Source organism: Homo sapiens, chromosome 12 (assembly GCF_000001405.40).
Source record: "Homo sapiens chromosome 12, GRCh38.p14 Primary Assembly".
Lineage (NCBI taxonomy): Eukaryota > Metazoa > Chordata > Mammalia > Primates > Hominidae > Homo > Homo sapiens.
Genome location: NC_000012.12, coordinates 31,589,797 through 31,617,419, shown reverse-complemented (window position 1 = coordinate 31,617,419; position 27,623 = coordinate 31,589,797). Strand labels below are relative to the sequence as shown.

Genomic DNA, 27,623 nt, shown 5'->3' with positions numbered 1-27,623 from the left:
TAAAATAAAATAAAGTAAAGTAAAAAGGCTGGGCACGGTGGCTCACGTCTGTAAACCCAGAACTTTGAGAGGCCAAGGTGGGCGGATCATGAGGTCAAGAGATCAAGACCATCCTGGCCAACATGGTGAAACCCCATCTCTACAAAAAATACAAAAATTAGCTGGGCATGGTGGCACGTGCCTGTAGTCCCAGTTACTCAGGAGGCTGAGGCAGGAGAACCGTTTGAACCAGGGAGCTGGAGGTTGCAGTGAGCCAAGATCGCGCCACTGCGCTCCAGCTTGGTGATAGAGCAAGACTCCGTCTCAAAAATATATATATATTGTAAAGGATACTTGAAAGGATGCATAGGGCAAGGTATGGGAAGGGGCATAGAGCTTCCATGCCCTATGTGGGGTGAGAGGCACCCTCCAGGAACCTCCATGTGTTCAGCTATCCAGAAGCTCCCCCAGCCAGACCTTTGGGGTTTTTATGGAGGCTTCATTATGTAGGCATGATTGATTAAATCACTGGCCGTCAGGATTAACTTAACCTTCAGCCCCTTCCCCTTCCCAGAAGTTGGATAGGGCTGAAAATCATAACTCTCTGATTTTGTCTTGGTCTTTCACGTGCCCAACCTCCATCCTGAAGCCACCTAGGGGCTGCCAGCCATCAGTCAACTCATTAGGTTACAAAAAGACACTTATCACTTGGGAGATTCCAAAGATTTTATGCCAGGAGATGGTAGGAAGACCAAATAAATATTTCACAATATCACATCCCTAATGTAGGTCCTATTATCACCATTCTCATTTTGCAGGTGAGGAGACTGAAGCATGAGATTAAGAAATCAAGACCGCCTTCCCCCTGTAGGGCCGGCCGGCGAGTCCCAGTGAGAGCGGAGGGTGCCAGAGGTAGGGGGCCGAGAAACAAAGTTCCCGGGGCTCCCTCCGGGGCCGCGGTCGGGGCTGCGCGTTTGACCGCCCCCCTCCTCGCGAAGGCAATGGCTTCCAAACTCCTGCGCGCGGTCATCCTCGGGCCGCCCGGCTCGGGCAAGGGCACCGTGTGCCAGAGGATCGCCCAGAACTTTGGTCTCCAGCATCTCTCCAGCGGCCACTTCTTGCGGGAGAACATCAAGGCCAGCACCGAAGTTGGTGAGGTGGCAAAGCAGTATATAGAGAAAAGTCTTTTGGTTCCAGACCATGTGATCACACGCCTAATGATGTCCGAGTTGGAGAATAGGCGTGGCCAGCACTGGCTCCTTGATGGTTTTCCTAGGACATTAGGACAAGCCGAGGCCCTGGACAAAATCTGTGAAGTGGATCTAGTGATCAGTTTGAATATTCCATTTGAAACACTTAAAGATCGTCTCAGCCGCCGTTGGATTCACCCTCCTAGCGGAAGGGTATATAACCTGGACTTCAATCCACCTCATGTACATGGTATTGATGACGTCACTGGTGAACCATTAGTCCAGCAGGAGGATGATAAACCCGAAGCAGTTGCTGCCAGGCTAAGACAGTACAAAGACGCGGCAAAGCCAGTCATTGAATTATACAAGAGCCGAGGAGTGCTCCACCAATTTTCCGGAACGGAGACGAACAAAATCTGGCCCTACGTTTACACACTTTTCTCAAACAAGATCACACCTATTCAGTCCAAAGAAGCATATTGACCCTGCCCAATGGAAGAACCAGGAAGATGTGGTCATTCATTCAATAGTGTGTGTAGTATTGGTGCTGTGTCCAAATTAGAAGCTAGCTGAGGTAGCTTGCAGCATCTTTTCTAGTTGAAATGGTGAACTGATAGGAAAACAAATGAGTAGAAAGAGTTCATGAAGAGGCCCTCCTCTGCCTTTCAAAAGGGTGGTCACCTACACATGTTTAAGGTGTCTCTGCACATGTCTCAAGCCCATCACAAGAAAGCAAGTACAGTGTGGATTTCAAATGGTGTGTAACTTCAGCTCCAGCTGGTTTTTGACAGCTGTTGCTGTGGTAATATTTTTTACATGTGATGGTGATAGTCTCTGGTTCTCCCCATCCCCACAAAGGCTGTTGAACCACAGCACCAGGAAGCCTGAGAATGAATCCTGAGGGCTCTAGCCCAGGCTTTGTCCCAGGCTTTCTGGTGTGTGCCCTCCTGGTAACAGTGAAATTGAAGCTACTTACTCATAGTGGTTGTTTCTCTGGTCTTGAGTGACTGTGTCCACAGTTCATTTTTTTCCGGTAGGAATAACTCCTTTTCTACATCCACACTCCATAGAGTCTCTCCTTTTCAGATATCCTGGGATGAAAGAATTTGGCTTTTTTTTTTTTTTTTTTTTTGACATCTGTTTTCACTCTTAGGCTTTTAAACAATAGTTATTGCTCTTATCCCTCTCAGATTCTAATAACTGAGAGTGATGGGGCTATATTGAATCTCTGTATGCACTGAGAACTGAGCTATGAAGAGGATCTTATTAAACTGCTGGTCTGACTTTATGGATTGACACTGTTCCTTTCTTTTATTGTGAAAAAAAAAAAAAACCCTGAAAGTCTTGGGAACCCCCTAAAGTCTTTTGGGAATCCTCAAAAAGCATGGGAAGTTAAGTATTTAGCTACATAAATGTTGTAAGATCATATCTTATGTATAGAAGTAATAAGACCATTTGGAATTACTGGACTAATTGAATAGTTAAGGTTTCTATTCGGGACAATAAAATGTATTTTGAAAGTGCTGCTAACTATTGATGCTGACAGTGTTTCACTCCTATGAGTGACCCAAACATATTATAAATATGTGGTAAAGGGAATGGAGCCTGTGGGGTTGAGCAGAATGTTGTACTAGCTGTGCCTGGACTGAGTATAGCAGCTTTATGATTATGAGAAAACAAATTCTTTATTTTTTTTTCTGTTCCAAAGATTCATCCTATGGGGTGGCCATAAAGTCTAGAATTAGATACTAATATTTTGTCATTCATTATAACATATCAATAAACCATTTGTTAAAAGATTTGCCTGGTTTCCAGACTTGGTGGCCACCTTGAATAATTCTTGCTGTCTTCTGGGAAGGATGATGAAATTTATTCCTGCTGCCTTAAAAATATGTATCCCTTCTTCACCCATCATGACTGTCCCCAGTGAGTGTCCTTTACTATTCTTGGGAGTGACTCCTGTCTAACTTTTCATACTGGCGAGAAGAAAAGAGGCCTATTTTAACACTTTAGTGGTGTTGAAACACATTACTTACTTTCTGAAGATGTCCCAGTGAATCCTCTGTCAATTCACTGCCATATGTAATCTATATGATAAGGAATGCATCTTCCAAGTACTGCCCAAACTCTTGCCAGCTCCTCTCCCATTGTCCCTTCATGTGAATATTTCTTGGCTACCTTAGTGGAAATATAGATCAGTCTTCTCCCCATCCATCCTCTCAAACATAATGAGATTGTTTACTTTTTAGATTTATGCAGTGAAAATGCCCAGTCAGGTCTGAATCGTCAGTGCATTATATTGACCCTGAGCACTTTAGAATTTAGAGTTGCAATTGAATGCCAGCTGTGGAGATGGGGTGCATATCAGATATATAAATAAAGCTCAGGTTTGCTAGGGAACCAGGTATAGAGAAAAATAAGTCTGATATGAGGAAAATTGCACAATTTAGAGTAGTTATGCCGTAGAGAAAATTTCCACAAACTAGGAAATGTAGAGAGTTATTCTATAGAATACTCAAAAGAGGAAAGTATGTGATTTTTGGAAACAGGAAAATCTTCAAACTTCTTTCTTCACTTCCCTTTGTGTTTAGCTGACCCTCCAATGTGATCATTGCCTTTGGAGTTTGGGAGAGGTACGGGAAGTGGCCTGATGCCTGCTTCCATACTTCACTCCTCCATCCATCCTTCCCTCCCTCTTCCCCTCCAGCTAAATGGACAATTCTAGCCAACATTGAGTCACTCAATAAGTCTCAACAGTGGGTGTGTTTGCTGAGATTGTCCAGCAGTTGAGCAGTTTGGTCTCACCTCCCTCGCTAGTTGAGACCAAAAAGAGACAAATAACTTTTTCATGGTCTTTGAAACATAATGCTTATTTCGTGGTCAATGGCTTTAAAAAAATCTGTTTCTTGTTTTCTTCAACAAACTCACTAGTTTTCCCTTAAATGATATTGTAAAAATTAAAGTAATCTTGAAAATGTTTTGACAAAAGTAAAATTAAAGGGACAAAAAAAAAAAAGAAATCAAGACCACTAGTGAGTAAGCAGCCCAGGTAGGACTCAAACCCAGACAGGCAGCCTCCAGAGTCCTGTACTTAACTGCTATACTATGCTGTCTGGTTAAGAGAATAGATCTTTCTTTCTTTCTTTCTCTTTCTTTCTTTTCTTTTCTTTCTTTCTTTCTCTTTCTTTCTTCTTTCCCTCTTTCTCTCCTTCCTTCCGTCTTTCCTTCTTTTCTTTTCTTTTCTTTCTCTCTTTCTTTCCTTTCTTTCTTTTTCTTTCTTTCCCTCTTTCTTTTCTTTCCTTTCTCTCTCTCTCTCTTTTCTTTCTTTCTTTTGACAGTGTCTAACGCTGTCACCCTAGCTGGAGTGCATGGTGTTCATAGTTCACTGTAGCTTTGAATTCCTGGGCTCCAGCAATCTTACTGCCTCAGCCTCCAAAGTAGCTGGGAGTACAGGCATACGCTACCACACCCGACTAATTTGAAAAAATTTTTTTGTAGAGAAGTAGTCTCTTTTTTTTCTTTTTTGTAGAGATGGGGTCTTTTTTTTTTCTTTTCTTTTCTTTATTTTTTTGAGACGGAGTGTCGCTCTGTCACCCAGGCTGGAGTGCAGTGGTGCAATCTCGGCTCACTGCAAGCTCTGCCTCCTGGGTTCACACCATTCTCCTGCCTCAGCCTCCTGAGTATCTGGGACTATAGGTGCCTACCACCATGCCCGGCTAATTTTTTGTATTTTTAGTAGAGATGGGGTTTCACCGTGTTAGCCAGGATGGCCTCGATCTCCTCATCTCGTGATCTGCCCACCTCAGCCTCCCAAAGTGCTGGGATCACAGGCGTGAGCCACCACGCCCGGCCAGAGATGGGGTCTTGCCATGTTGCCCAGGTTGGTCTTAAACTTCTGGACTCAAGCAATCTGGCCACCTTGGCCTCCCAAAGTGCTGGGATTACAGGTGTGAGCCACCTTACCCAGCTTGGAAATTTCATTATAACACATATATCTACAAAGAGTTTGTATAACAAAATATTTCCATATCTAGGTGTATGCTTTTTGATCAAGTTGCTGCAAAGACTCCTATACTCAAAATAGTTCATAAGCCCTCTCTACTCTAGTTTGTACAACTCTGCATTAGGAAAGATGCTATAGTTTGCAATACAGCTGAGCCATTTAGAGTATTTCTTTTTTCTCAGCTGCCAGATAGTCATACAATAGGTAAAATATACTGAACCTTGGCATGGTGTGCTTGCCAGTTTCATTGATTACCTCCACCTCCCTTGACCCCATGAAACACTCCTGGTATGCAGGCCCCAGTATAGTTCCTTGAATCTAGGCTGGCCTTGTGACTCTATTAACCAATAAAATATGGCAGAAGTGATGCTGTGCTAAGTCCAGGCTTAAGTATTGGAAAGACTGGTATCTTCCACATTTTGCTCTTGGGAACCCTGACCTGCACTTAAGAAGTCCAACTACCTTGCTGTACAGACCACATGCAGATGCCATGTGAAGAGGGATGTGGAGCGGGGAGCCCAGGCCTGCTCTTCCCAGGGGCAGAGAAGTCAGGGTTTGAGGAATGGGGGAAGAGAATCTGGTAGGTTCGGGTTGGGAGTACAGGGTAGTAGCTGGTTACCAACCTTTTCAGAAGAATTTTAATATTTTAACATTGAGTGCAACAATAGCAGTACAAACCAGTTGAAAAGTAGCCATGGCTTTAGCAAGTAGGCTATCAAGATATTACTCCTTTTCTGAATTCAGAGAGGTTATTTTCAAAAGCAGAGAAGTTGGATTTCAGTTTTGCTGTTTCTTGTCCTGTAATCAACTTGCTATATTCCTAGACCTTGGATAAAATTAACCAACCTATCTGTTAAACATGGGAATGTGGTTTATATGTTCAGTTTAGGGTAATTTTAATACAACAAACAATTCAAGTATTACATGGAAATAATCTCAAAAATTTAGATTCCTATATAGTTCAATTTGAAAACATTTTATATTACTACTAAATATTATCTAAGCTATGTGACTATAAGTAAGACCTATTTTTTTATTTTTATTAAAAAAATTTTTTTTGTAGGGATAGGGTCACCCAAGCTGGTCTTGAACTCCTGGGCTCAAGTGAACCTCCCACCTAGGCCTCCTAAAGTGCTGGGATTACATGCATGACCCACCGTGCCTGACCAGTAAGACTTTTAATATTACCGACTGTATGTTATGTGATATTAAGGGGTTCATTTTTTGTAGATGTGACACTGGAATTCTGATTGTGCCTTGAAAAGACAAAAAGAGTTTTATCTCCTAGATATACGTATTACAGTATTTTCTCATGGAATGACCTGATGTGATATCTGACAGTTGATTTTTTTTTTTTTTTTTTTGAGACAGAGTCTTGCTCTGTTCCCCAGGCTGGAGTTCAGTGGCACCATCCTGGCTCACTGCAACCTCTACCTCCCAGGTTCAAGTGATTCTCCTGCCTCAGCCTTCCGAGTAGCTGGGATTACAGTTGCCTGCCACCATGCCCAGCTAATTTTTGTATTTTTAGTAGAAACAGGGTTTCACCATATTGGCCAGGCTGGTCTTGAACTCCTGACCTCAAGTGATCTGCCCACCTTGGGCTCCCAAAGCGCTGGGAGTACAAGCATGAGCCATCATGCCTGGCCTGACAGTTGATTTTTTAATTTATTTTTCTAATTTAATTTTTAAAATTTTAATTTATTATTTATTTATTTATTTTTGAGACGGAGTCTTGCTCTGTCGCCCAGGCTGGAGGGCAGTGGCACAATCTCAGCTCACTGCAAGCTCCGCCTCCTGGGTTCACACCATTCTCCTGCCTCAGCCTCCTGAGTAGCTGGGACCACAGGTTCCAGCCACCACGCCCGGCTAATTTTTTGCATTTTTAGTAGAGATGGGGTTTCACTGTGTTAGCCAGGATGGTCTCGATCTCCTGACCTCATGATCTGCCCGCCTTGGCCTCCCAAAGTGCTGGGATTACAGGCATGAGCCACTGTGCCCAGCCTATTTTTAATTTTTTTATTATTTTTTATTTTTTTGAAACGGAGTCTCGTTCTATAGTCCAGGTTGGAATGTAGTGGCACAATCTTGGCCCACTGCAACCTCTGCCTCTTGGGTTCAAGCAATTCTCCTGCCTCAGCCTCCTGAGAAGCTGGGATTAGAGGTGCACACCACCATGCCTGGTGAATTTTTGTATTTTAGTAGAGACAGGGTTTCACCATGTTGGCCAGGCTGGTCTCCAACTCTTGACCTTAAGTGATCCCCCTGCCTTGACCTCCCAAAGTCCTGGGATTACAGGCATGAGCCACCATGCCCTGACCAACAGTTGATTTTAAATAATCTAGTGTGCAGGGGGTGAGAGCAGAGGGGTTGTAAATGAAATAGATTGGCCATATGTTGATAAATGTTGCCATATGTTGATAAATGTTGAATCTGGGTAATAGATACATGGGTGCTCATTATTCTATTCTTTCTATTTTGTGTGTGTTTGGAAATTTCTATAACAAAAAGTTTAAGAAAAAAGCTCAATAGTTATTCGAGATTTGTTCAAAACAGACATGAGATTGCAATTGTTTTCTACCTTTCACTTGCTTTAGGGTTGCTTTTCTTGAAAGGATTTTGTGAAATTGTATGTTTTAATACGAATATAAAAAGTAGTGTGTATTTAACCATAACCTCTTTTATAGTAGCTTCTGGGTGCCTCCTATACACTTCCAATCTTAGCAACAAGAATAAATAATTCCCTCTAATTTGGCCTCAACACTCAACTGCTGTCACATTAATTGCTACGTTTGTGTAGCTAATGCCTGCCTGTAGCCAGTGATAACATTTTAAAATACATTACAAGATGGACAATATTTTAGTGCCTAAATTCAGATATTAACCTTATAAGCTTTCCATTTTTTGGTAACTTTTTAAAAGTTAAACATTTTAAATTCTGTTATTGTCTTATTTCTTTATTATAATCTGGCCGTATGTTATCTTAGAGGCATCTCCAGAACTCACTTTTTACCCAACAATGTTGACAAGGTGGCTCCACCATATTTTAAAATTTCTAGCTATACCTTATATAGTATATATCCCTAAGTAAGATATTCTTCACTCACTCTTTTCACTGGTATTTATAATGGATTCAGTTTATAGATAACTATAATAGATTTGTAGAAAGGGAATTTATAAAAAGGCTTAAGTGGGTATTGTAAGCTTGAATTTTATGTTCTTTTTTTAATTTTATGTTCTTAATAACTTAAAATTTCAAAACTGATGTCTGAGGGTTACCTATTATTTTCTCTATTCATTTCTATTTTTCATTTTTATGTATTTTCATTTTTTTTTTTTTGAGACAAAGTCTAACTGTGACACCCAGGCTGGAGTGCAGTGGAACAATCATGGCTCACTGCAGCTTTGATCTTCCAGGCTCAAGCAACCCTCCTGTTAGAAGTAAAATGTTGTGTTTTTTTTTATTTTTTTATTTTATTATTATTATACTTTAAGTTTTAGGGTACATGTGCACAATGTGCAGGTTAGTTACATATGTATACATGTGCCATGCTGGTGTGCTGCACCCATTAACTCGTCATTTAGCATTAGGTATATCTCCTAATGCTATCCCTCCCCCCGCCAAAAATGTTTATTTAGAAATAGAATGCTTGTTCCTTGGTACCACAAGGAAAAATCAGCATTTAGACAAAAAGTTTTCTCAGCAAGGCAATTTTACCTTCTGCAGAAAGGGTGCTCCTCACAGATGGAACAATGGTGAGACCACACCTGAACAAAGGAGGGAAGCAATTTTATTCCTTACACAGCTTGTCCCTGCTAATGTGTCCTGTCTCCATTGGCTGGAGCTGGACCTCACAATCTAAATTAAACCTGACTGGCTAATAACTTAAAACTTTCCTAAATAGGTAAAAGCAAAGGAGAACAAAGAAAAAGAGGAAGTTGCTTATGAAAGGAAACAAATATCTTGGTTAAAGTACAAAGACATAGAATGTACTCATTCCCTTATATCTAGCAGCTACATAGGATAGGGCTTAACCAAGAGTTATTAGCATAAAGCAAGGAGGCTTGAGGGAAGTTACTCTTTAAAAGAAACTATTACTTCTAACACTTATGATTTATTCTTTAACAAGAAGGGAAATTTTGAAGAGAAAACTTTTTACTTTCTACACATCCCATCTCAGCCTCCCAAGCAGCTGGGACTACAGGCACATGGCACCAAATCTGGCTGGATTTTGTATTTTTTGTTGAGACAGGTTCTCACTATGTTGCCCAGGCTGGTCTCAAACTCCTAGCCTCAAGTGATCCTCTCACATCAGCCTCCCAAAGTGCTGGGATTATAGGCATGAGCCCCTGCACCCAATCTCTACTAATTTTTAAAGGCTAAAATATGCTATTATTTTTGTGATTTTTTAGTAGTCATTTAAAAATTTTTCTTATTGAATTAATTAAATAATTTTTAGAAATGGAGTTTGCTATGTTGCCAGGCTGCTCTGAAACTCCTGGCCCCAAGTGATGCTCTGGCCTCAGCCTCCTGAGTTGCTGGGATTACATGCATGAGCCACCATGCCCAACTCAGAAGTCTATTTCATATCACACGTATGATAATAATTTAATCACAAAGGACCGTACATTTAATAATGTTTATAAGAGCTAAGGAGATCAAGCAAAGATGTGTGAAATGAGTCAAACCTTCAATCCTCTCAGTCTGGTATTTACTAGTGTAAGAAAAAAATTAAAATGTATAACTTGAATTACAGTTGACTCTTGAACATAGGCGTTAGGGGCACCGACACTTCCTCAAGTAGAAAATTTGCATTTAACTTTTGACTCCCCCAGAATTTAACTACTAATAACCTACTGTACAGCACAAGCCTTATGGATAATATAAACAGTTGATTAACACATATTTTGTATGTTATATGTGTTATGTATTGTATTCTTAAAGTAAGCTAAGTAAAAGAAAATGTGAAGAAAATCATAAGGAAGTGAAAGTATGTTTACTGTTTATTAAGTGGAAGTAGCTCTTCATAAAAGTCTCCATCCTCATCATCTTCATATTGAGTAGGCTGAGGAGGAGGAGGAAGAACAGGCTGTCTCAGGGGCAGCAAAGGCAGAAGAAAATTGGCATATAAGCAGACCCACACAGTTCAAACCAGTGTTGTTCAGGATCGGCTGTATAATCTACCTTAGAGAAAAAATTTCACTTTTTTTTTCTTTCTTTTTTTTTTTTTGAGACGAAGTTTCCCTCCTGTTTCCCAGGCTGGAGTGCAATGGCGTGATCTCAGCTCACTGCAACCTCTGCCTCCTGGGTTCAAGCAATTCTCCCACCTCAGCCTCCCAAGTAGCTGGGATTATAGGTGCCCACCACCACGCCTGGCTAATTTTTGTATTTTTAGTAGAGACAGGGTTTCACCACCTTGGCCAGGCTGGTCTTGAACTCCTGACCTCAGGTGATCTGCCTGCCTTGGCCTCCCAAAGTGCTGGGATTACAGGCATGAGCCACCGTACCGCACCCGGCCTTTTTTTTTCTTTTTGAGATGGGATTTTGCTGTGTTGTCAGGCTGGATTTGAACTCCTGGGCTCAAGGGATCTTCCCACCTCAGCCTTCTGAGTAGCTGGGACTACAGGTGCCTGCAAAATTTCACTTTTGAAAAATATGGGGCAAGTTCAATGGCTCATGTCTGCCGTCTGTTATTCCAGGACTTTGGTAGGCAGAGGCCGGAAGATTGTCTGAGCCCAGGAGCTGGAGACCAGCCTGGACAATATGGTGAGGTCCTGTCTCTACTTAATAATACATTTTTTAAAATTGAAAATAGAAAAAGAAAAATATGGCCAGGTGAGGTGGCTTACGCCTGTAATCCCAACACTTTGGGAGGCTGAATTTGGCAGATCACCTGAGGTCTAGAGTTTGAGACCAGTCTGGCCAACATGGTGAAACCTTGTCTCTACTAAAAATACAAAAAAAATTAGCTGGACATGGTGGCACACGCCTGTAGTCCCACTGCACTCCAGCCTGAGCAACAGAGGGAGACTCTATTTCAAAAAAAAAAAAAAAAAAGTAAAAGAAAAGTATGATTTCCCCAATTTAAATTGAGATTAGAGGTAATGCATATGTTAGCTAGATTTAGTCATTATACCATGTATATATACTTCAAAATATTGTTATACACAGTAAATACATATAATTTTATCTGTCAATTCAAAAAAAAATTAAAACTGAGATTACCCTTTTTGTGTTGGGCCATTTATTTACTAGTCAACCTGTTTGAGGAGCTTGATGTTTTTTTCAGCTTATATAGACAACAATTTCGCTGAATGATAGAGAGTTTGCTTATATATTAAGGACAGAGAAGCTAAACACAGGGACATAAAGTTATTTTATCCATCGTAAACTCTAAAGGGGAGTATAAATCTAAAGTGGTTGATTCATGCTCCTGGCTTTTTGCTACTAGATAATGCTCTCTCCTACTCTTAGGTAATAACATGCATAGCCAAAATTAAGCCTCTTATGTTGCCTTGGATTCTGTTACTTTAAATAGGCACTCACCAGATTATAATTTTGGCTCGTTTGGAGATTGCTGCAGTCTGATACTAATTTTTTTCCTCCCCCCAACCCACAAAATTACAATGGGCAAGCTAGAAGTCAGGAACAATTATTCCAACAGTACAATTAAATGGGCTTTTCTCCTGGCATTTTTCTTGCCATCTTTAATTACTGTTTGAGTCTGAAGTTAAAGGAAATAGTCACAGGAGAAGAATTCTTAAGAGAGAGAGAGGAGAATGAGTCCATACTTTTCCTCAAACAGAATAGATACTTTCCAAAACATTTTCCAAAAACTATTATGTAAGCTAACATTGCTCCTTAGAAATGATGCCTGTGGAGGGGATATAGACTTGGAGGATGATGTTTGCTTAGAAGGGAGCCATGGCAAATAAACATCCTGAAGTTTCTAAGATTTCAAGCCTAATTCAATAATGGGATTATGGCTAAATTGCTAAACTTAAAATAATTGCCTTATGAACAGTCACATTGATTATGACTAAAAAGGACAGAGGATTTGTGTTCTATTTTTAGAGTAGATATACGGCCTTTGTTGGGGAGGCTGAGGGATGCATTTAATCAATCAATCTTCTGAAAGTATAAACTGTGTGATGTGTGGATGTGAGGTGAGAGAAAACAGCTCCCTACCTCCGGAAGCTCTTAGCTGCACAAGTAGGGAAGAAAACATTAATGTTATTGTCTGAATGTTTGTGTCTTCCCCAAATTCACATGTTGAAATCCTAACCCCCAATGTGAGGCGTTGGGAGGTAGAGCCTTTGGGAGATGATTAGGTCATGAAGGCGGGTACCTTATCAGTGGGATTAGTGCCTTTATAAAAGAGACCCCAGGAGAACTAGTTCTTTTCTTTTTACCACCTGAGGACACAGTGAGAAGGTGCCATCTATCATCCAGGAAACTAGCCTTCACCAGACAATGAATTTGCTGGTACCTTGGACTACCCAGCCTCCAGACTGCAGTAAATAAATTTCTGTTGTTTATAAGCCACTCAGTTTATGGCATTTTGTCACAGCAGGCCAAACAGACTAAAACAATTAATACACTTAGAATAATATTGCAATACTAAAAGGTGTGGGACCAGTTACAAGTGCCTCTGAATTCAAAGTGGGAAAGAATAGATGAGTGAGATTTCTGTGATTTAAAAGAGGTGTTAGAAATTGCATGTGAAGGCCAGGCTCCATAGCTCATGCCTATAATCCCAACACTTCACAAGGCTGAGGTGGGCAGATCATTTAAGTCTGGGAGTTCAAGACCAGCATGAGCAACACAGCAAAACTCAGTCTCTACAAACAAACAAACAAACAAACAAACAAAGAAACATTAGCCAAGTGTGCTGGTATATGCCTGTGATCCAGCTACTTGGGAGGCTGAGTGGGAGGATCACTTGAACCTGGGAGGTGGAGGCTTCAGTGAGCCATGATTGTGCCTGTACTCTAGCCTAGATGACGGAGTGAGACCTAATCTCAAAAAAAAAAAAAAAAAAAAAGAACAAGAGAAATTGTATGTAGCAGGGGGCATGGTGGCAGGCACCCATAATCCTAGCTACATGGGAGGTTGAGGCAGGAGAATCACTTGAGCTCGGGAAGTGGAGGTTGCAGTGAGCTGAGATCGCACCACTACACTCCAGCCTGGGTGACAGAGTGAGACTCCATCTCAAAAAAAAAAAAAAAAAGAAAAGAAAAAAGAAAAAGAGAGCGAGAGAGAGAAATCACATGTGAAGTCTGTAACAGAGAACTCAGGTTCAAAGTCTGGCATGTGGCCAGAGTTTAAAGATGCTGGATCCAAAATATACTCAGATCAAGACTGATAGTGTTATTCCGTTGGCTACTGGAGTGTTTTCAACCTTAAGGTTTTTAGATGGAATTGAGAAAGATTACAAATTTGTAACATAAAATCAAGTTAATCACTGAGTAGCCAAATTGGTTTTTTTGATGATTGAAAATTATGCAAACTTTGTTTCATTTCTCTTTTTTTACTTTTTTTTTTAAGAAACAAAGTCTCTGTTCTGTCACTCAGGCTGGAGTGCAGTGGTGCGATCATAGCTCACTTCCACCTGCAACTCTGGGCTGAAGCAATCCTCCCACCTCAGTCTCCCTGGTAGCTGGGGTTATAGGCACATGCCATCACACCTGGCTAATCCTTTCAATTTCATAGTTATTTATACTCTTCAGACTATTTTGAATGTATATATGTACAGCATTATATATCTCTAGGATTTTATTCATTGATATATCCCTGGAACATTACCTGGCATATAGTAGGCATTATAAGAATTGTTGAGTAATTAATGAATGTTCATGCATCCATGTATACATATGCATATATGTATAGTTATTCAAATTAGTCTCACTAATAAGTCATTATAATAGTTACAAATTTGAGTGATTTATATAAGAATAGCCATGATTCACAATGCTGATCATCTTTTCTCACAGAAACACACACGGACTTAAGAAAGAAAGGCTTTGAATTACAAAAAGCAATAGATGCCTGTTGTCAATTTTTAACAATATAGAAATATGAAAAATAACAAATGGAAGCTGTTCAGATGTTTTCATGCACAAACATGTATACAGTTTATTTTTAACACAAAAATAGGAACTATATATTTTTCTTTTCTTGCTTTTTTTTTTTTTGAGATGGAGTCTCATTCTGTTGCCCAGGCTGGAGTGCAGTGTCACGATCTCAGCTCACTGCAACCCTCCATCTCCCAGATTCAAGTGATTCTTCTGACTCAGCCTCCCAAGTAGCTGGGACTATAAGTGCGCACCACCAAGCCTGGCTAATTTTTTGTAATTTTAATAGAGACGAGGTTTCACCATATTGGCCAGGCTGGTCTTGAACTCCTGACCTCAAGTGATCCGCCCACCTCAGCCTCCCAAAGTGTTGGGATTATGGGTGTGAGCCACCACACCCAGCTGTCTTTTCTTGCCTTTTATATTCAGCCATATATTAGATATTTTTTCCATCAGTGTAACCTCATTCTTAGCATGCATTGTATCAGATATACCAGAATCTATTTAACCACTTCATTTTTTGTCTTTTTTATTTTTATTTAAAATTTTTTTTTATATTTTTTACTTTTTATTTTTAATATAGGCAGAGTTCCATCATGTTGCCCAGACTGGTCTTGAACTCCTAGGCTCAAAGGAACCTCCTGCCTCCCAGAGTGCTGGGATTACAGATGTGAGCCACCACACCCAGCTAACTGCTTCCTATTTCCTATTGGTAGGAATAAGATTGTTTCCACTTTTAAATATAATGAGCAATGTTTCAGGGGACGTTGTACACATATTCTTTACTTGCATATTTCTGTAGGAGAAAGTCTGAGATGCAGAATTGATGAATCAGAGGGTATGAGTATTCTAACTTTTGATAGAAAATCTGCATTTTAATTTCTACTCATATACTCTTGATTTTGGTTTGATGGAAGGAACCCAGCCAACCCAGGAAAATACCTTCTGCAGAAGGCTGCTAAAATTTCTTCCTCATCTTGGGCCAGGCGCAGTGGCTCATGCCTGTAATCCCAGCACTTTGGGAGGCCGAGGTGGTTAGATCACAAAGTCAGGAGTTCAAGACCAGCCTGGCCAAGATGGTGAAACCTCGTCTCTATTAAAAACACGAAAATTAGCTGGGCGTGGTGGCACACGCCTGTAATCCCAGCTGCTCAGGAGGCTGAGGCAGGAGAATCGCTTGAACCCGGGAGGCAGAGGTTGCAGTGAGCCGAGATTGCGCCACTGCACTCCAGCCTGGGTGACACAGCGAGACTCTCCTTCTCAAAAAAAAAAAAAAAAGATTTCTTTCTCATCTTATGGGCTGATTTCCAGGAAAGCCTACCTTAGCTGCCTGAAGCTCTAGTGCAGATCACTGTCACATCCTTAAGAAGAGCTAGTTCTGGCCGGTCGCGGAGGCTCACGCCTGTAATCCCAGCGCTTTGCGAGGCCGAGGTGGGCAGATCACGAGGTTAGAAGATTGAGACCATCCTGGCTAATACGGTGAAACCCCGTCTGTACTGAAAATACAAAAAAAAAAAAAAAAAAAAAAAAAAATTAGCCGCGCCTGGTGGCGGGCGCCTGTAGTCCCAGCAACTCAGAAGGCTGAGGCAGGAGAATGGCGTGAACTCGGGAGGCAGAACTTGCAGTGAGCCGAGATCGCGCCACTGCACTCCAGCCTGGACAACAGACCGAGCCTCCGTCCCCCCAAAAAAAAGAAAAGAAGAAAGAAGAGCTAGTTCTGGGGCTTTTTCTAGAATATGGAATTATATTTCTTTCCTTTCAGTTTTTTTTTTTTTTTTTTTGGAGGCGGAGTCTCGCTTAGTCGCCCAGGCTGGAGTGCAGTGGCGCGATCTCAGCTCACTGGAAGCTCCGCCTCCCAGGTTCATGCCATTCTCCTGCCTCAGCCTCCCGAGTAGCTGGGACTACAGGCATGCGCCACTACGCCCGGCTAATTTTTTGCATTTTTAGTAGAGACGGGGTTTCACCGTGTTAGCCAGGATGGTCTCGATCTCCTGACCTCGTGATCTGCCCACCTCGGCCTTCCAAAGTGCTAGGATTGCAGGTGTGAGCCACCGCGCCTGGCCTCCTTTTAGATTCATAAGGTTTTTTTTTTTTTTTAACTGGACGGGATCTTAGAGACTATTCCCCTTATTTTGAGAGTAAACATTCAGTTGAAAGTTAAAGAAAATAACTCAAACTGGCTGAAACAATAAAAGGAATTCATTGGCTCACATTAACTGACAAATTCCAGATATTGAGTAGGCTTCCTGTATGATTTGAGCCAGAGTTTATAATATAGTCTACTTTTCAGTGATATTCTTGGCTCTGCTCCATTCTGTATATTGGCTTCATCCTTGGCCTGGCTTTCCTTGTAAGGCTACTGGTAATTTTGGGACGGTATATATCATATTTACACCCAAGGTAAGAAGAGGATGTTCCTTTCTCCAACTATCAAACAAAAGTTCTGAACCTCATCCTAATTAGGCCAGCTTAGGATAACTGTTCATCCCTGAGTCAGTAACTCTTAAAAGGAATATAGGTTCACAAAGACATCCTAGAGCTAGGTGTAAACCCAATACCATGTGAAGGACATGAACACTACACAACGAAGGAGGAGGGGATGGATTCTGATTAAACAGCCACCTATTAGGGAGGAACTTCCTTTCCTCTTGCCTCACGTTTCCATGTAGAGGAACTTCTACTACAGTAACACTGTTGGCCCCCACTTCACCCCTCCCCTGCCTGCTAGGTTTGCAAAGTAGTTCATGGTCTTCATTTCTCCATTGGATGGCGCTAATCTAATTAAAGTTAGCAAGCATTGGAGAGTCTTCTATTTCCTTCCCACCTGGGGCTTACATGGGACAGCAATACTGAACTAAATGTAGATGCTCTACAGATTCAAATATCCCCTTCGGTGGCCTGAGCCAGGGTTTGGTCAGCGGGAAGAAAAGATTGAAGGGATGGAAAGTAATGTAGCAAATCTCTGCCACAGACCTGCTCTTTCTTCAGATCAGCTTTACCTTTTTTTTTTTTTTTTTTTTTTTTTTTAAAGACAGAGTCCACTCTGTCACCCAGGCTGGAGTGCAGTGGTGCTATCTGCACTCACCACAACCTCCGCTTCCCAGGTTCAAGTGATTCTTCTGCCTCAGCCTCCCGAGTAGCTGGGATTACAGGTGTGCGCCATTGCACCTGGCTAATTTTTGTATTTTCAGTAGAGATGGGGTTTTGCCATGTTGGCCAGTCTGGTCTTGAACTCCTGACTTCAGGTGATCTGCCCACCTCAGCCTCCCAAAGTGCTGGGATTACAGGTGTGAGCCACCGTGCCCAGCCGGCTTTAGCATTAACAGAGGCTACATTTAATAATAGAAACTGTTCTCCATCTGTTGGCATCCTATATCTTATTTCTCAATTGGTTCCAATCTTAGGGAAGAAAGATGAAGTTGTTGATTGACCTTTTAAAACCCAAATCCTGCTGGGTATAGTGGCTCATGCCTGTAATCCCAGCACTTTGGGAGGCTGAGGTGGTAGGATTGCTTGAGCCCATGAGTTTGAGACCAGCCTGGGCAATATAGCGAGACTTTGTCTCTGCTTTTAAAACAACAACAACAACAAAACAACAACAACAACAACAACAACACCACTACCCTGTTTCAGTTTCTGGTCTATTTAGAGCTTTTCCTTCCCATAGATGAGGACACTTGATGTGGATTTTCAGGCCTATCCCTGCCCCATTTTCTGCTACAAATGGGTTCTGCTTGGACCTTCTACCAAGTCCTGTCACCGTCTTTTGTATTTAGACTTTGTCATTGTACGTAGGTCCTTAGAATTTAGCTTCTGCCTTATATGCAAGTGTCTCTCTCCAGGAGCCCTCGGTCCTAGTATCTTGGGTTCCGCTCTGGTAACCTACCTAGGTCTCTAGTTCCTTTTTCAGGCTGGGCCCTTGCAGGTTCCCCTCTACATTAATTTCCTAGGGCTGCTGCAACCAATTACCACAAACTTGGTGGTTTAAATAACAGAAGTTAATTTTCTCACAGTTTTAGATGCCACAAGGCTAAAACCAAGGTGTCAGGAGGGCTGATTCCTTCTGGGGGACCCCCAGGGAGAATCCATTCCATCCCTCTCTCCTAGCTTCTGGTGTCTGCTGGCAATGCTTGGCACTCCTTAGCTTGTGGCAACAACATTCCAAGCTCTGTCTCTGTCTTCACATGATCTTCGCCTATGTGTGTCTCAATATCTCAAATCTCCCTTTTCTTATAAGGACACCAGTCATTGGGTTTAGGGCCCACTCAGCTATAATTGCACTGCATTAAGGATCTCAAGATGAGATCCTCAATTACATCTGCAAATATTTTATTTCTGAATAAGATCACATTCACAGGTATAGGGATTAGGACTTGGACACACCTTTTTGGGGACACAATTCAACCCACTATATCCTCTTGACTTCTTATTACAACTGGAGAGAACCTGTGATTCCATGATAGACTTCCTGAAGCTGCTTGCCTGGAATTTTATATTATATTATTTTACTTTTTGGAGACAAAGTCTCACTCTGTCTCCCAGGCTGGAGCACAGTGGTGCAATCTCGGCTCACTGCAACCTTCACCTGCCTGGGTTCCGGCGATTCTCCTACCTCAGCCTTCCAAGTAGCTGGGATTATAGGTGTGCGCCACCACGCCTGGCTAATTTTGTATTTTTAGTAGAGACAGGGTCTCGCCATGTTGGCCAGGCTGGTCTTGAACTCCTGACCTCAGCTGTTCCACCTGCCTCGGCCTCCCAAAGTGCTGGGATTACAGGTGTGAGCCACCACCCCCCCACCCCCGCCACCTTGCTTGCCTGGATTTCCGAATGCCAGATGCCTTGGATGCTCCTTTCTGTCACCATTTGCAACAACTAAATCTTACGGCCCCTTTTGCTGACCGTGTAGACGCCATCTAGAGATGGTGGCCCACTTTGGATGCTAAGTTTGACTGCCACATTGAACTTCTCTTGTCAACACAGCACAGGCTCAGTGACCCCAACCCCCCTATACCCCTCTCAGTATTTATCATGTCTCATTGAGTGGGCCTGGAACTAGGGTCTGCATATCTCCATTGGCCCTATCTGATTAAAGTGATCATGACCTATTGTATTCTGAAGTGCTACGCAAGAAGTGCTAGACCTCTTGGACTGATTTTCATGACTGGGCGTGGTGGCTCATGCCCACTTTGGGAGGCCAAGGCAGGAGGATCATTTGAGTTTAGGAGTTCGAGACTTACATTGCACACCTGGGCAATGTAAGGATACCCTATCTCTATTAAAAATAAAAATAAAAAGTTGGCCAGGCGGGGTGGCTCACACCTGTAATCCCAGCACTTTGGGAGGCTGAGGCGGGCATAGCACTTGAGGCTAGGAGACCAGCCTGGCTAACATGGTGAAACCCCAGCTCTACAAAAAATACAAACATTAGCCGGGCATGATAGCTTGTGCCTGTGGTCCCGGTACTCAGGGAGCTGAGAGGTGGGAGGATCATTTGCACCCAGGAGGTGGAGGCTGCAGTGAGCCTTGATCATGCCACTGCACTCCAGCCTGGGTGGCACAGTGAGACCTTGACTCAAAAAATAAAATAAAATAAATAAAGAATTAGCTGGGCATGGTGGCATGTGCCTGTAGCTGCAGCTCCTAGGGAGGCTGAGATGAGAGGATCACTTGAGCCTGGAAGATGGAGGCTGCAGTGAGCTATAATCACACCACTGCACTTCGCCCACAATCCCTCGCACTCTTCCTTTCCAACTTGGGCCCCTCAGAATGCCTCCCGCAAAGAAGGGTGGTGAGAAGAATTACAGTTCTGCCATCAGTGAGCTGGTGACCAGAGAATATACCATCAACATTCACAAGCGCATTCATGGAGTTGGTTTCAAGAAGAGTGCCCCTCGGGCACTCAGCGAGATCTGGAAATTTGCCATCAAGGACATGGGAACTACGGATGTGCACACTGATACCAGGCTTAACAAAGCTGTCTTGACCAAAGGATTAAGGAATGTCCCATATGGCATCCCTATGCTTTCAAAAATCTACAGACAGTCAATGTGGATGAGAACTAACCACTGATTGTCGAATATATCAAATAAAATTATAAAACTGCCTTCCAAAAAAAGAAAATCACACCACTGCACTCCAGCCTGAGCAACAGAGAGAGAGAAACTGTCTCAAAAAAAAAAAAATCAAAATAATGAGATAGAGTATGTTAAAATGTCTAGCTCAGTGTCTGGCACACAGAAACAATGAGTTACATATATTGAATACTTTCTATGTTCTAGGGACTGTGCTAAGCACTCTACATGTATTATCTCCTTCAAACTTCACAATAACTTAATTTTGATCTGCACTGGACAAATAAGGAAATTAAAGCTAGAGTAACATTAAGCAGATTGTCTTATAGATACTAAAAGAAGTGAGATTTGAACCCAGGTAGTGAGAGTCTGGAGGTTGTCCCCTTTATCAGCACACCAAACCACCCCAAAACATACTGGTTGAAAAAAAACCAAAATTGAATAAAATTTTTGTAAGAATTTGGATCAGTCCTTGTCAATCAACCAAAATGAGTAGAATTTTAGGAAATGTAAAGTTTTGAAACTTTACAAAAGTTTTTGAAAATGAGTAGGATGCAATAAAAACTGGACATAAATCTTTTGGCTCTTTTTTGTTTGTAAATAGATTTGTGAGTACAATTTTATTTATTTATTTATTTATTTATTTGTTTGTTTGTTTGACAGGGTCTTGCTCTGTTGCCCAGGCTGGAGTGCAGTGGCACAATCTCAGCTCATCAAAACCTCCATCTCCTGGGTTCAAGCGATCTTCCCATCTCAGCCTCCTAAGTAGCTGGGACCAAAGGCATACGTCACCATGCCCAGCTAAGAGGTACAATTTATATATATTAAAATGTATTTGCTAGCCAGGCGCGGTGGCTCACGCCTGTAATCCCAGCACTTTGGGAGGCTGAGGCGGACAGATCACCTAAGGTCAGGAGTTCGAGACCAGCCTGACCAATACGGTGAAACCCTGTCTCTACTAAAAATACAAAAATTAGCCGGGTGTGGTGGCGTGCACCTGTAATCCCAGCTACTCAGGAGGCTGAGGCAGGAGAATTGCTTGAACCCGGGAGGCAAAGGTTGCAGTGAGCCGAGATTGAGCCACTACACTCCTACCTGGGTGACAGAGTGAGACTCCATCTCAAAAAAAAAAAAATGTATTTGCTGTAAGAGTACATTGGGTTTTGACAAATATATCTGTCTGTGAAAGCACTACCACAATCAAGGTACAACATTTTCCCATTGCTCCGGAAAGCTCCCTCCTGCCCTTTTGCAGTCAATTTCCCACCACATCACCTCTGGCCCCAGGCAACCACTGATCTGCTTCCTGCCCAGTCTAGAATTTCATATGAGTAGAGGGATACACTATGGACTCCTCTGTGCCTGGCATCTTTTGCTTAGCATATTTTTGACAGCCATGCACCTTGTGGCATGTATCAGTGGTTCATTCCTCTTTACTACTAAGTAGTGTTCCCTTGTATGAGGATACCAATTTAATTCTCCATTCATCTGGTGATGGACATTTGGCTTATGGATTAGTCAGGAGATAGAAACCAGTAATTTGAACACGAAAATTTATTATAATTGTTAGCTAGTAAAAAGTGGTTAACAACAACAAGGGGTAAAAGAGGGTTCTAAGGTGGCTCAAACCTGTAATCCCAGCACTTTGGGAGACTGAAGCAGGTGGATCGTTTGAGCCCAGGGGTTTGAGACCCGCCTGGGCAACAGGGTGAAACCCTGTCTCTACCAAAAATACAAAAAACTAGCTGGGTGTGATTGCACATGCCTGTGGGTGGTCCCAGCTCTTTGGGAGGCTGAGGTGGGAGGATTGCTTGAGCCAGGGAGGTGGAGGCTGCAGTGAGTCGAGATTGTGCCACTGCCCTCCAGCCTGGGTGAGTGACCCGCCACCCCCCCAAAAAAGAGGGCTGTAAGGGATCGAGAAGTAGCAAATACGATGAGGAGAATGGACTCTCCAAAATATTTAAGTCGTGTTAAGGAGAGGAGAGGTTATTTTTCTCTTTTGATGCTATGACAATCCTTGTCAACACCGTTCTTCACCACCACACTCCAGCCACATATAAACAACCAAGAAAGAAGGGATTGATTGCTAATGTAACTATTTAGAGCCCAAAACATTCATTGGACCACATTTTACTGGTAGTCAGAGTCACCATGTGCCACCAGCTTAGCAGTGCTATCAATCTCTCATTCCTCCACTTCCGCAGACCGTGGCAGGACTCAGCTATCCCAAGCATGCCATGCCGTCCATTTGAGGCTTTACCAGTAAGTCCTTTGGAGACAGCAGATCATTGCTCAGATTTTTGTTCACTGAGCTAATTTACTTCTCTGTCATTATTTCAGAGGACAATCTGCATATAATGATACATAGCTAATTCTTGAGTATCCTTTCAACTTCGTTTCATTGTAGCTTAATGCAGAATATACTTACACAGTGTCATCCTGAAGTGATAATTAAAAAAGTATACGGATATTTTCAAATTAGTGTTTAATTTTGTAATGTGTGACTATTTTCCTAAAAGCTTTAGGAAAGATTTTAGGAATTCTATTTTTATGAGATTAGTATATTTTAATTGCATGCATTGTTTGTTGGTGATTCAATTTTTTTCACCTTAAAAATATTAATGTGGGGCTTACAAACTCATAAATCAGTTACTGGTCAAATTTAAAAAAAAAATGACGTGCCTTGGCTAGTGCAAACAGTAAATCAGTTTTTTTACTGTGTTTGTTTGATTCGCTTGGAATCTAACAAACATTCTGTAAGAAGTTACCACCGAAGACAGGAGAAACAGATACCTGGCACTTCCTTCCTTACTAATGAAATGTTATGCATTTCAGTACTTTCTACGTGAGGAAAAGCAATATTGCATAAGAGTAATTAAAGTGTTCACAATTAGGTCCATACTCTGGTTTCTCTTCAGATCGTATACGTCTTTTGTCTTTTACTAAAGATTTCCGTGGAAGGGAACAATTCTGAGTTTTTGACTAAGTTTTGTTTTGTTTTGTTTGAGACGGAGTTTTGCTCTGTTGCCCAGGCTGGAGTGCAGTGGTGCGATCTTGGCTCACTGCAACCTCTGCCTCTTGGGTTCAAGCCATTCTTCTGTCTCAGCCCCCCAAGTAGTTGGGACTACAGGCACTCACCACCATGCCAGGCTAATTTTTGTATTTTTAATAGAGACAGGGTTTCACCACGTTGGCCAGTCTGGTCTTGAACTCCTGACCTCAGGTGATCTGCCCCCTTCGGCCTCCCAAAGTGCTGGGATTACAGGCGTGAGCCACCGTACCTGGCCTGACCAAGTTTTGAGGCCTTGCATATGTGGAGCTTATTTTTATTTTTATTTATTTTTTAATCTTTATTTTATTATTATTTTTTGAGACAGAGTCTCACTCTGTCACCTGGAGTGCAGTGGCATGATCTTGGCTCACTGCAACCTCTGCCTCCCGGGTTCAAGTGATTCTCGTGCCTCAGCCTCCCAAGTAGAGCTGGGATTACAGGTGTGCACCACCACACCTGGCTAATTTTTGTATTTTTAGTACAGACGGGGCTTCACCATGTGGATCAGGCTGGTCTCGAACTCCCGACCTCATGTGATCCACCTGCCTCGGCCTCCCAAAGTGCTCGGATTACAGGTGTGAGCCACCATGCCCAGCCCAGGACTTATTTTTTAAAAAATGTTACAGATATTAAAGTTTGTATATTTTTCTGGTAGAATCAACAACCTGTTATCACCTAGATAACTGCTCTTCTTTCAACACTCAAATATAAATTGAGGGGCTAAATAGGACCAGAGTTCTGCTAGATACCAGAAAAGTGAAGAACCACAGAGTCCAACTCTTGCTCTGTGGAGTTTACAACACAGCTAAGAAGACACAGAAAAGCCATTACAAGTGTTTTTGAAGAAGTACAGGGTGCAACATGACCTAAAGGTCAATTACCCAGACTGTGGCTCACCCTGATTTCTTGATTCTTCTTGTATTTTCTTTTCTTTTCTTATTTTTTTTGAGACAGTCTTACTCTGTTGCCCAGGCTGGAGTGCAGTGGCGCGATCTCGGCTCACTCTAATCTCCGCCTCCCAGGTTCAAGTGATTCTCCTGCCTCAGCCTCCCGAGTAGCTGGGACCACACGTGCGTGCCACCACACTGGCTAATTTTTTGTATTTTTAGTAGAGACAGGGCTTCACCATGTTGGCCAAGATGGTCTCGGTCTCCTGACCTCGTGATCCGCCCGCCTTGGCCTCCCAAAGTGCTGGGATTACAGACATGAGCCACTGCACCCGGCCAATTCTTCTTATATTTTACTAATTATTATTTTATTGATTTTTTTTTTTTTTTTTTTTTTTTAGTAGAGACGGAGTTTCACCATGTTGGCCAGGCTTGTCTCAAACTCCTGACCTCAAGTGAGCCTCTCGCCTTGGCCTCCGAAAGGACTGGGATTACAGGCTTGAGCCACTGCACCCGGCCTCATTTTATTTTTATAGAGACAGGGTCTCTCACTATTTTGCCCAGGTTGGTCTTGAATTCCTGGACTCAAATGCTCCTCCTGCCTTGGCCTCTCAAAGTGCTGGGATTACAGGCCTGAGCCACCATGGCCAGCCTCTTTCATTTCAAAATTGAAGAAAGAAAGTGAAGATACAAGCTACATTAAATGATGGTATGCACGCACATGTATCTTCTAGGAAGAACATTATTCAGTCAAATAATCGAGGTTCTCTCAGGCAACCTCTCTGGAAGGTTTGCTTGTATGTCTAGTGGTAGATGCCCCAAATCCCCAAAGAAGAAAGCAGGGAGTGGTGTGGAAGGGGTTGCCATGTGGAGATGAATTGCATTCAGTTTTCTATCTTTTAAGTTTTATTTTTACTTACATGGCCGGGCACAGTGGCTTATTATGCCTGTAATCCTAGCACATTTGGGGGCCAAGGCGGGAGGATCACTTGAACCCAGGAGTTTGAGAGCAGCCTGGTCAATACAGTGAGACCCTGTCTCTTAAAAAATTATTTTTTAAATAAATAAATGTTATTTTTTTACTTAGATGGAGACAGAGTCTCCCTCTATTGCCCAGGCTGGTCTTGAACTCCTGGTCTCATGTGATCTTCCTACCTGGGCTTCCCAAAGTGTTGAGTAAATTACAGGTGTGAGCCACTGAGCCCAGCCAGTTTTCTTTCAAAGGAAAAAGAACTGGTTGTCGAGTTCCTTCCGAGAAGGCAAAAGACAGCTGAGCAGGGCAAGAAAGCCGTGCCTTTGGGAGGAGCAGAGTTCATGGTCTAATTCCTGTTGCTTTAGCCTCCGATTGTTACTTGCGGGGAGAGCCGATAACATCGGATGGGTACAGGGCTGCGGAACTGGAGCGCCTTGGCTATTTACACTGACCTGGAAAATGTCAGGATAAATGACAGAAGGCGGGGGTTGGTGACTGCACTCCTTCTAGAAGTCTCAACGCTTTGTGGGTATTGAGTTGTGTTTTTTCCCCCTCACGGTTGACTTGTCACTAAGTCACTAAGGATGGCCTGTAAATGGGGTGACGGCTGGGGGAAGGGAGGACCTTAAAGTGAGACAGGCACCCCCACACAGGTCACAGTTTAAAAGACGATGGTTCAGACCGTTATGCGAAATGATCTCAGAGCGGCTGTTCACCTTCCCCAAAGCTGCATTAAAAGAAATAAGGATGGGTGACAACCCCTTTAGAAGACAGACCCCCACACTGAGGCTAGCCCTCTTATCGGCTGGCCAGGGCGAGGAGGGGTGTGTGCAGGGTCGCCCTCGATGCCGCAGCCGGGGCCAGTGGGCACGAATGCGGCCCCACGCCAGGCTTGGCCTCCGAACCCGCTAGGCGCGCGCGCACGGTAGAAGCGCGCGCCTCCGTCCCTCGCGAGCGCGCCCCCCACCCCTCTCCGTCGCACGCGCCGAGCCCCGGCGCCCCCGCCCGCCCCGCGCTCCCACAGCCCGAGCGCCGCTCAGCTGACCCGCGGGCGCCAGACGCGGCGGCTCTCAGCTCGCGAGCGCAGCTGCGGCTGCGAGGGCCTCTCAGGCCGACACTCCCCCCGCGCCCCTCCCCCACCCGGCCGGGCTCCGGACCCGCCGCGCGCGAGCCCGCGGCCGCTTCCCCCGCGCCGAGCGAGGAGGCAGGCTGCGGCGGCGAGAGGCGGCTGCGCGGCCATGGGCGCGCCAGTGTCGCCCTAGGGCGGGCGCACAGACCACAGCCGGAGCGGTGGTGGCAGCCTCCGCAGAAAGCCTTCCCGGGCGGCGGCGGCGGCGGCCCCTGGAGCAGCGCGGCCGGGATGAGCGGGAGCTGCGCGGCGCCCGGCCCGGGCTCGGGCTCCTCCCCGGCCGCCTGCCGCTTCGCGCACTACTTCGTGCTGTGCGGGATCGACGCGGACAGCGGGCTGGAGCCTGACGAGCTGGCGGGTAAGGCCAGGGCTGCGGCGGCGCTGAGCCCCCTCAGGGGCGCGGGGGACGCTGTGGGGACGCGCGGGAGGCGGGGTGCAGGCTCCAGACAAAGTCAGCTCCCGGTGGCGCCCTCCCGCCGCTTTCTGGCCGAACTGGCGCTCGGGCGCGATTTAATGACATTGTTATTTATTCCGCGTGCGGGCTTTGCGGCTGCGCCCACCGGGGCTTTCGCCTCCAGGCGCTGGGTTATTAATAACAGGCGCGGGGGTGGCCCCAAGGGCACGGACCCCGCCTGGCGCGCCGGCCCCTTCGCTTGCAGCCGCACTCGGAGGCGGCCGGTGAGTCACCGGGCGCGCGGGCTGCCCCCCGACCGCCGTGCCTGCCTCCCACCCGCCAGCCACCCGGCCCCGGCCGCGAAGTTTCGGCCCCGCACGTGACGCGGCTTTCGGGCCTCTTCGGGAGACGGGGAGTCGGACTCAGCTCGGCTCCCGCCGGGGTAGCGTCCGCGGAGGAGCCGGTGGCCGTGCGGAGCGAGCGCGGGGCGGGGACCGGTCGGACTCTGCCCTCTGCGCCGCCTGCCGCTCTGCGGTGCCGGCCAAGTCACCTTTTGGAATCCTGTGGATTTGGCCGCGTCTGGGAGCTGGCAGGGACCTTTGGACGCTCGGGACCCAGCACCGCGCTTTGTTGACACTGCCTACACTGTTCCCGAGTTTAAATTCAGTTGGGTGCACCGTGTGTTAGTGCCTGGTTTTCCCGGAGGGGTACCGGTCCTTCCGCTTGACTCATTTGATGGCGCAGTGCGGGGCTGTGCTGGGCAAACGACGCCGTTAAAAGGGGCCGCTAAAGGGCGATGGGCGGGGGCAGGGCAGCGGAGTGCGCAGTGTCGAGAGGAGGCCGGGGAGAAACAACTGATTTCATTTTTCACGC

General features: G+C 44.2%; 1 protein-coding gene, 1 long non-coding RNA gene and 3 pseudogenes across 18 annotated transcripts in view, besides 4 other annotated features; 4 read left to right on the top strand and 1 right to left on the bottom strand.

Annotated features, from left to right (window-relative positions):
• AK4P3 (adenylate kinase 4 pseudogene 3) lies at positions 837 to 3,177 on the top strand (annotated as a pseudogene).
• On the bottom strand, positions 2,069 to 27,497 carry DENND5B-AS1 (DENND5B antisense RNA 1). The gene is made up of 3 exons (NR_046909.1): positions 27,301 to 27,497; positions 15,566 to 15,740; positions 2,069 to 2,260 (listed from the first exon to the last, which is right to left on the bottom strand). It is a non-coding gene; the product is annotated as a DENND5B antisense RNA 1 (long non-coding RNA).
• Positions 20,012 to 20,314, top strand: RPL31P50 (ribosomal protein L31 pseudogene 50; annotated as a pseudogene).
• Positions 23,214 to 23,327, top strand: RNU5F-4P (RNA, U5F small nuclear 4, pseudogene; annotated as a pseudogene).
• Positions 25,474 to 25,703: an enhancer, noted in NCBI's record as "active region_6169". NCBI's record gives its function as "activates an Ori minimal core promoter by ATAC-STARR-seq in GM12878 lymphoblastoid cells {active_cell/tissue: GM12878}" and the evidence as "EXISTENCE:reporter gene assay evidence [ECO:0000049][PMID:35858748]".
• Positions 26,134 to 26,423: a silencer, noted in NCBI's record as "silent region_4325". NCBI's record gives its function as "represses an Ori minimal core promoter by ATAC-STARR-seq in GM12878 lymphoblastoid cells {active_cell/tissue: GM12878}" and the evidence as "EXISTENCE:reporter gene assay evidence [ECO:0000049][PMID:35858748]".
• Positions 26,284 to 27,623, top strand: part of DENND5B (DENN domain containing 5B) — a 208,911-nt gene continuing 207,571 nt past the window's right edge. For 16 of the 17 annotated variants that reach the window (XM_047428429.1, XM_047428424.1, XM_047428430.1 and 13 more), the window contains exon 1: positions 26,284 to 26,714. In XM_047428429.1, the coding sequence (XP_047284385.1) occupies positions 26,588 to 26,714 (127 nt within the window). In that variant the 5' untranslated portion in view covers positions 26,284 to 26,587. Of the gene's footprint in view, positions 26,715 to 26,977; positions 27,035 to 27,623 lie in introns of those variants that run through there. The other variant, NM_001308339.2, reaches the window with a different exon arrangement.
• Positions 26,494 to 26,763: a silencer, noted in NCBI's record as "silent region_4324". NCBI's record gives its function as "represses an Ori minimal core promoter by ATAC-STARR-seq in GM12878 lymphoblastoid cells {active_cell/tissue: GM12878}" and the evidence as "EXISTENCE:reporter gene assay evidence [ECO:0000049][PMID:35858748]".
• Positions 26,914 to 27,253: a silencer, noted in NCBI's record as "silent region_4323". NCBI's record gives its function as "represses an Ori minimal core promoter by ATAC-STARR-seq in GM12878 lymphoblastoid cells {active_cell/tissue: GM12878}" and the evidence as "EXISTENCE:reporter gene assay evidence [ECO:0000049][PMID:35858748]".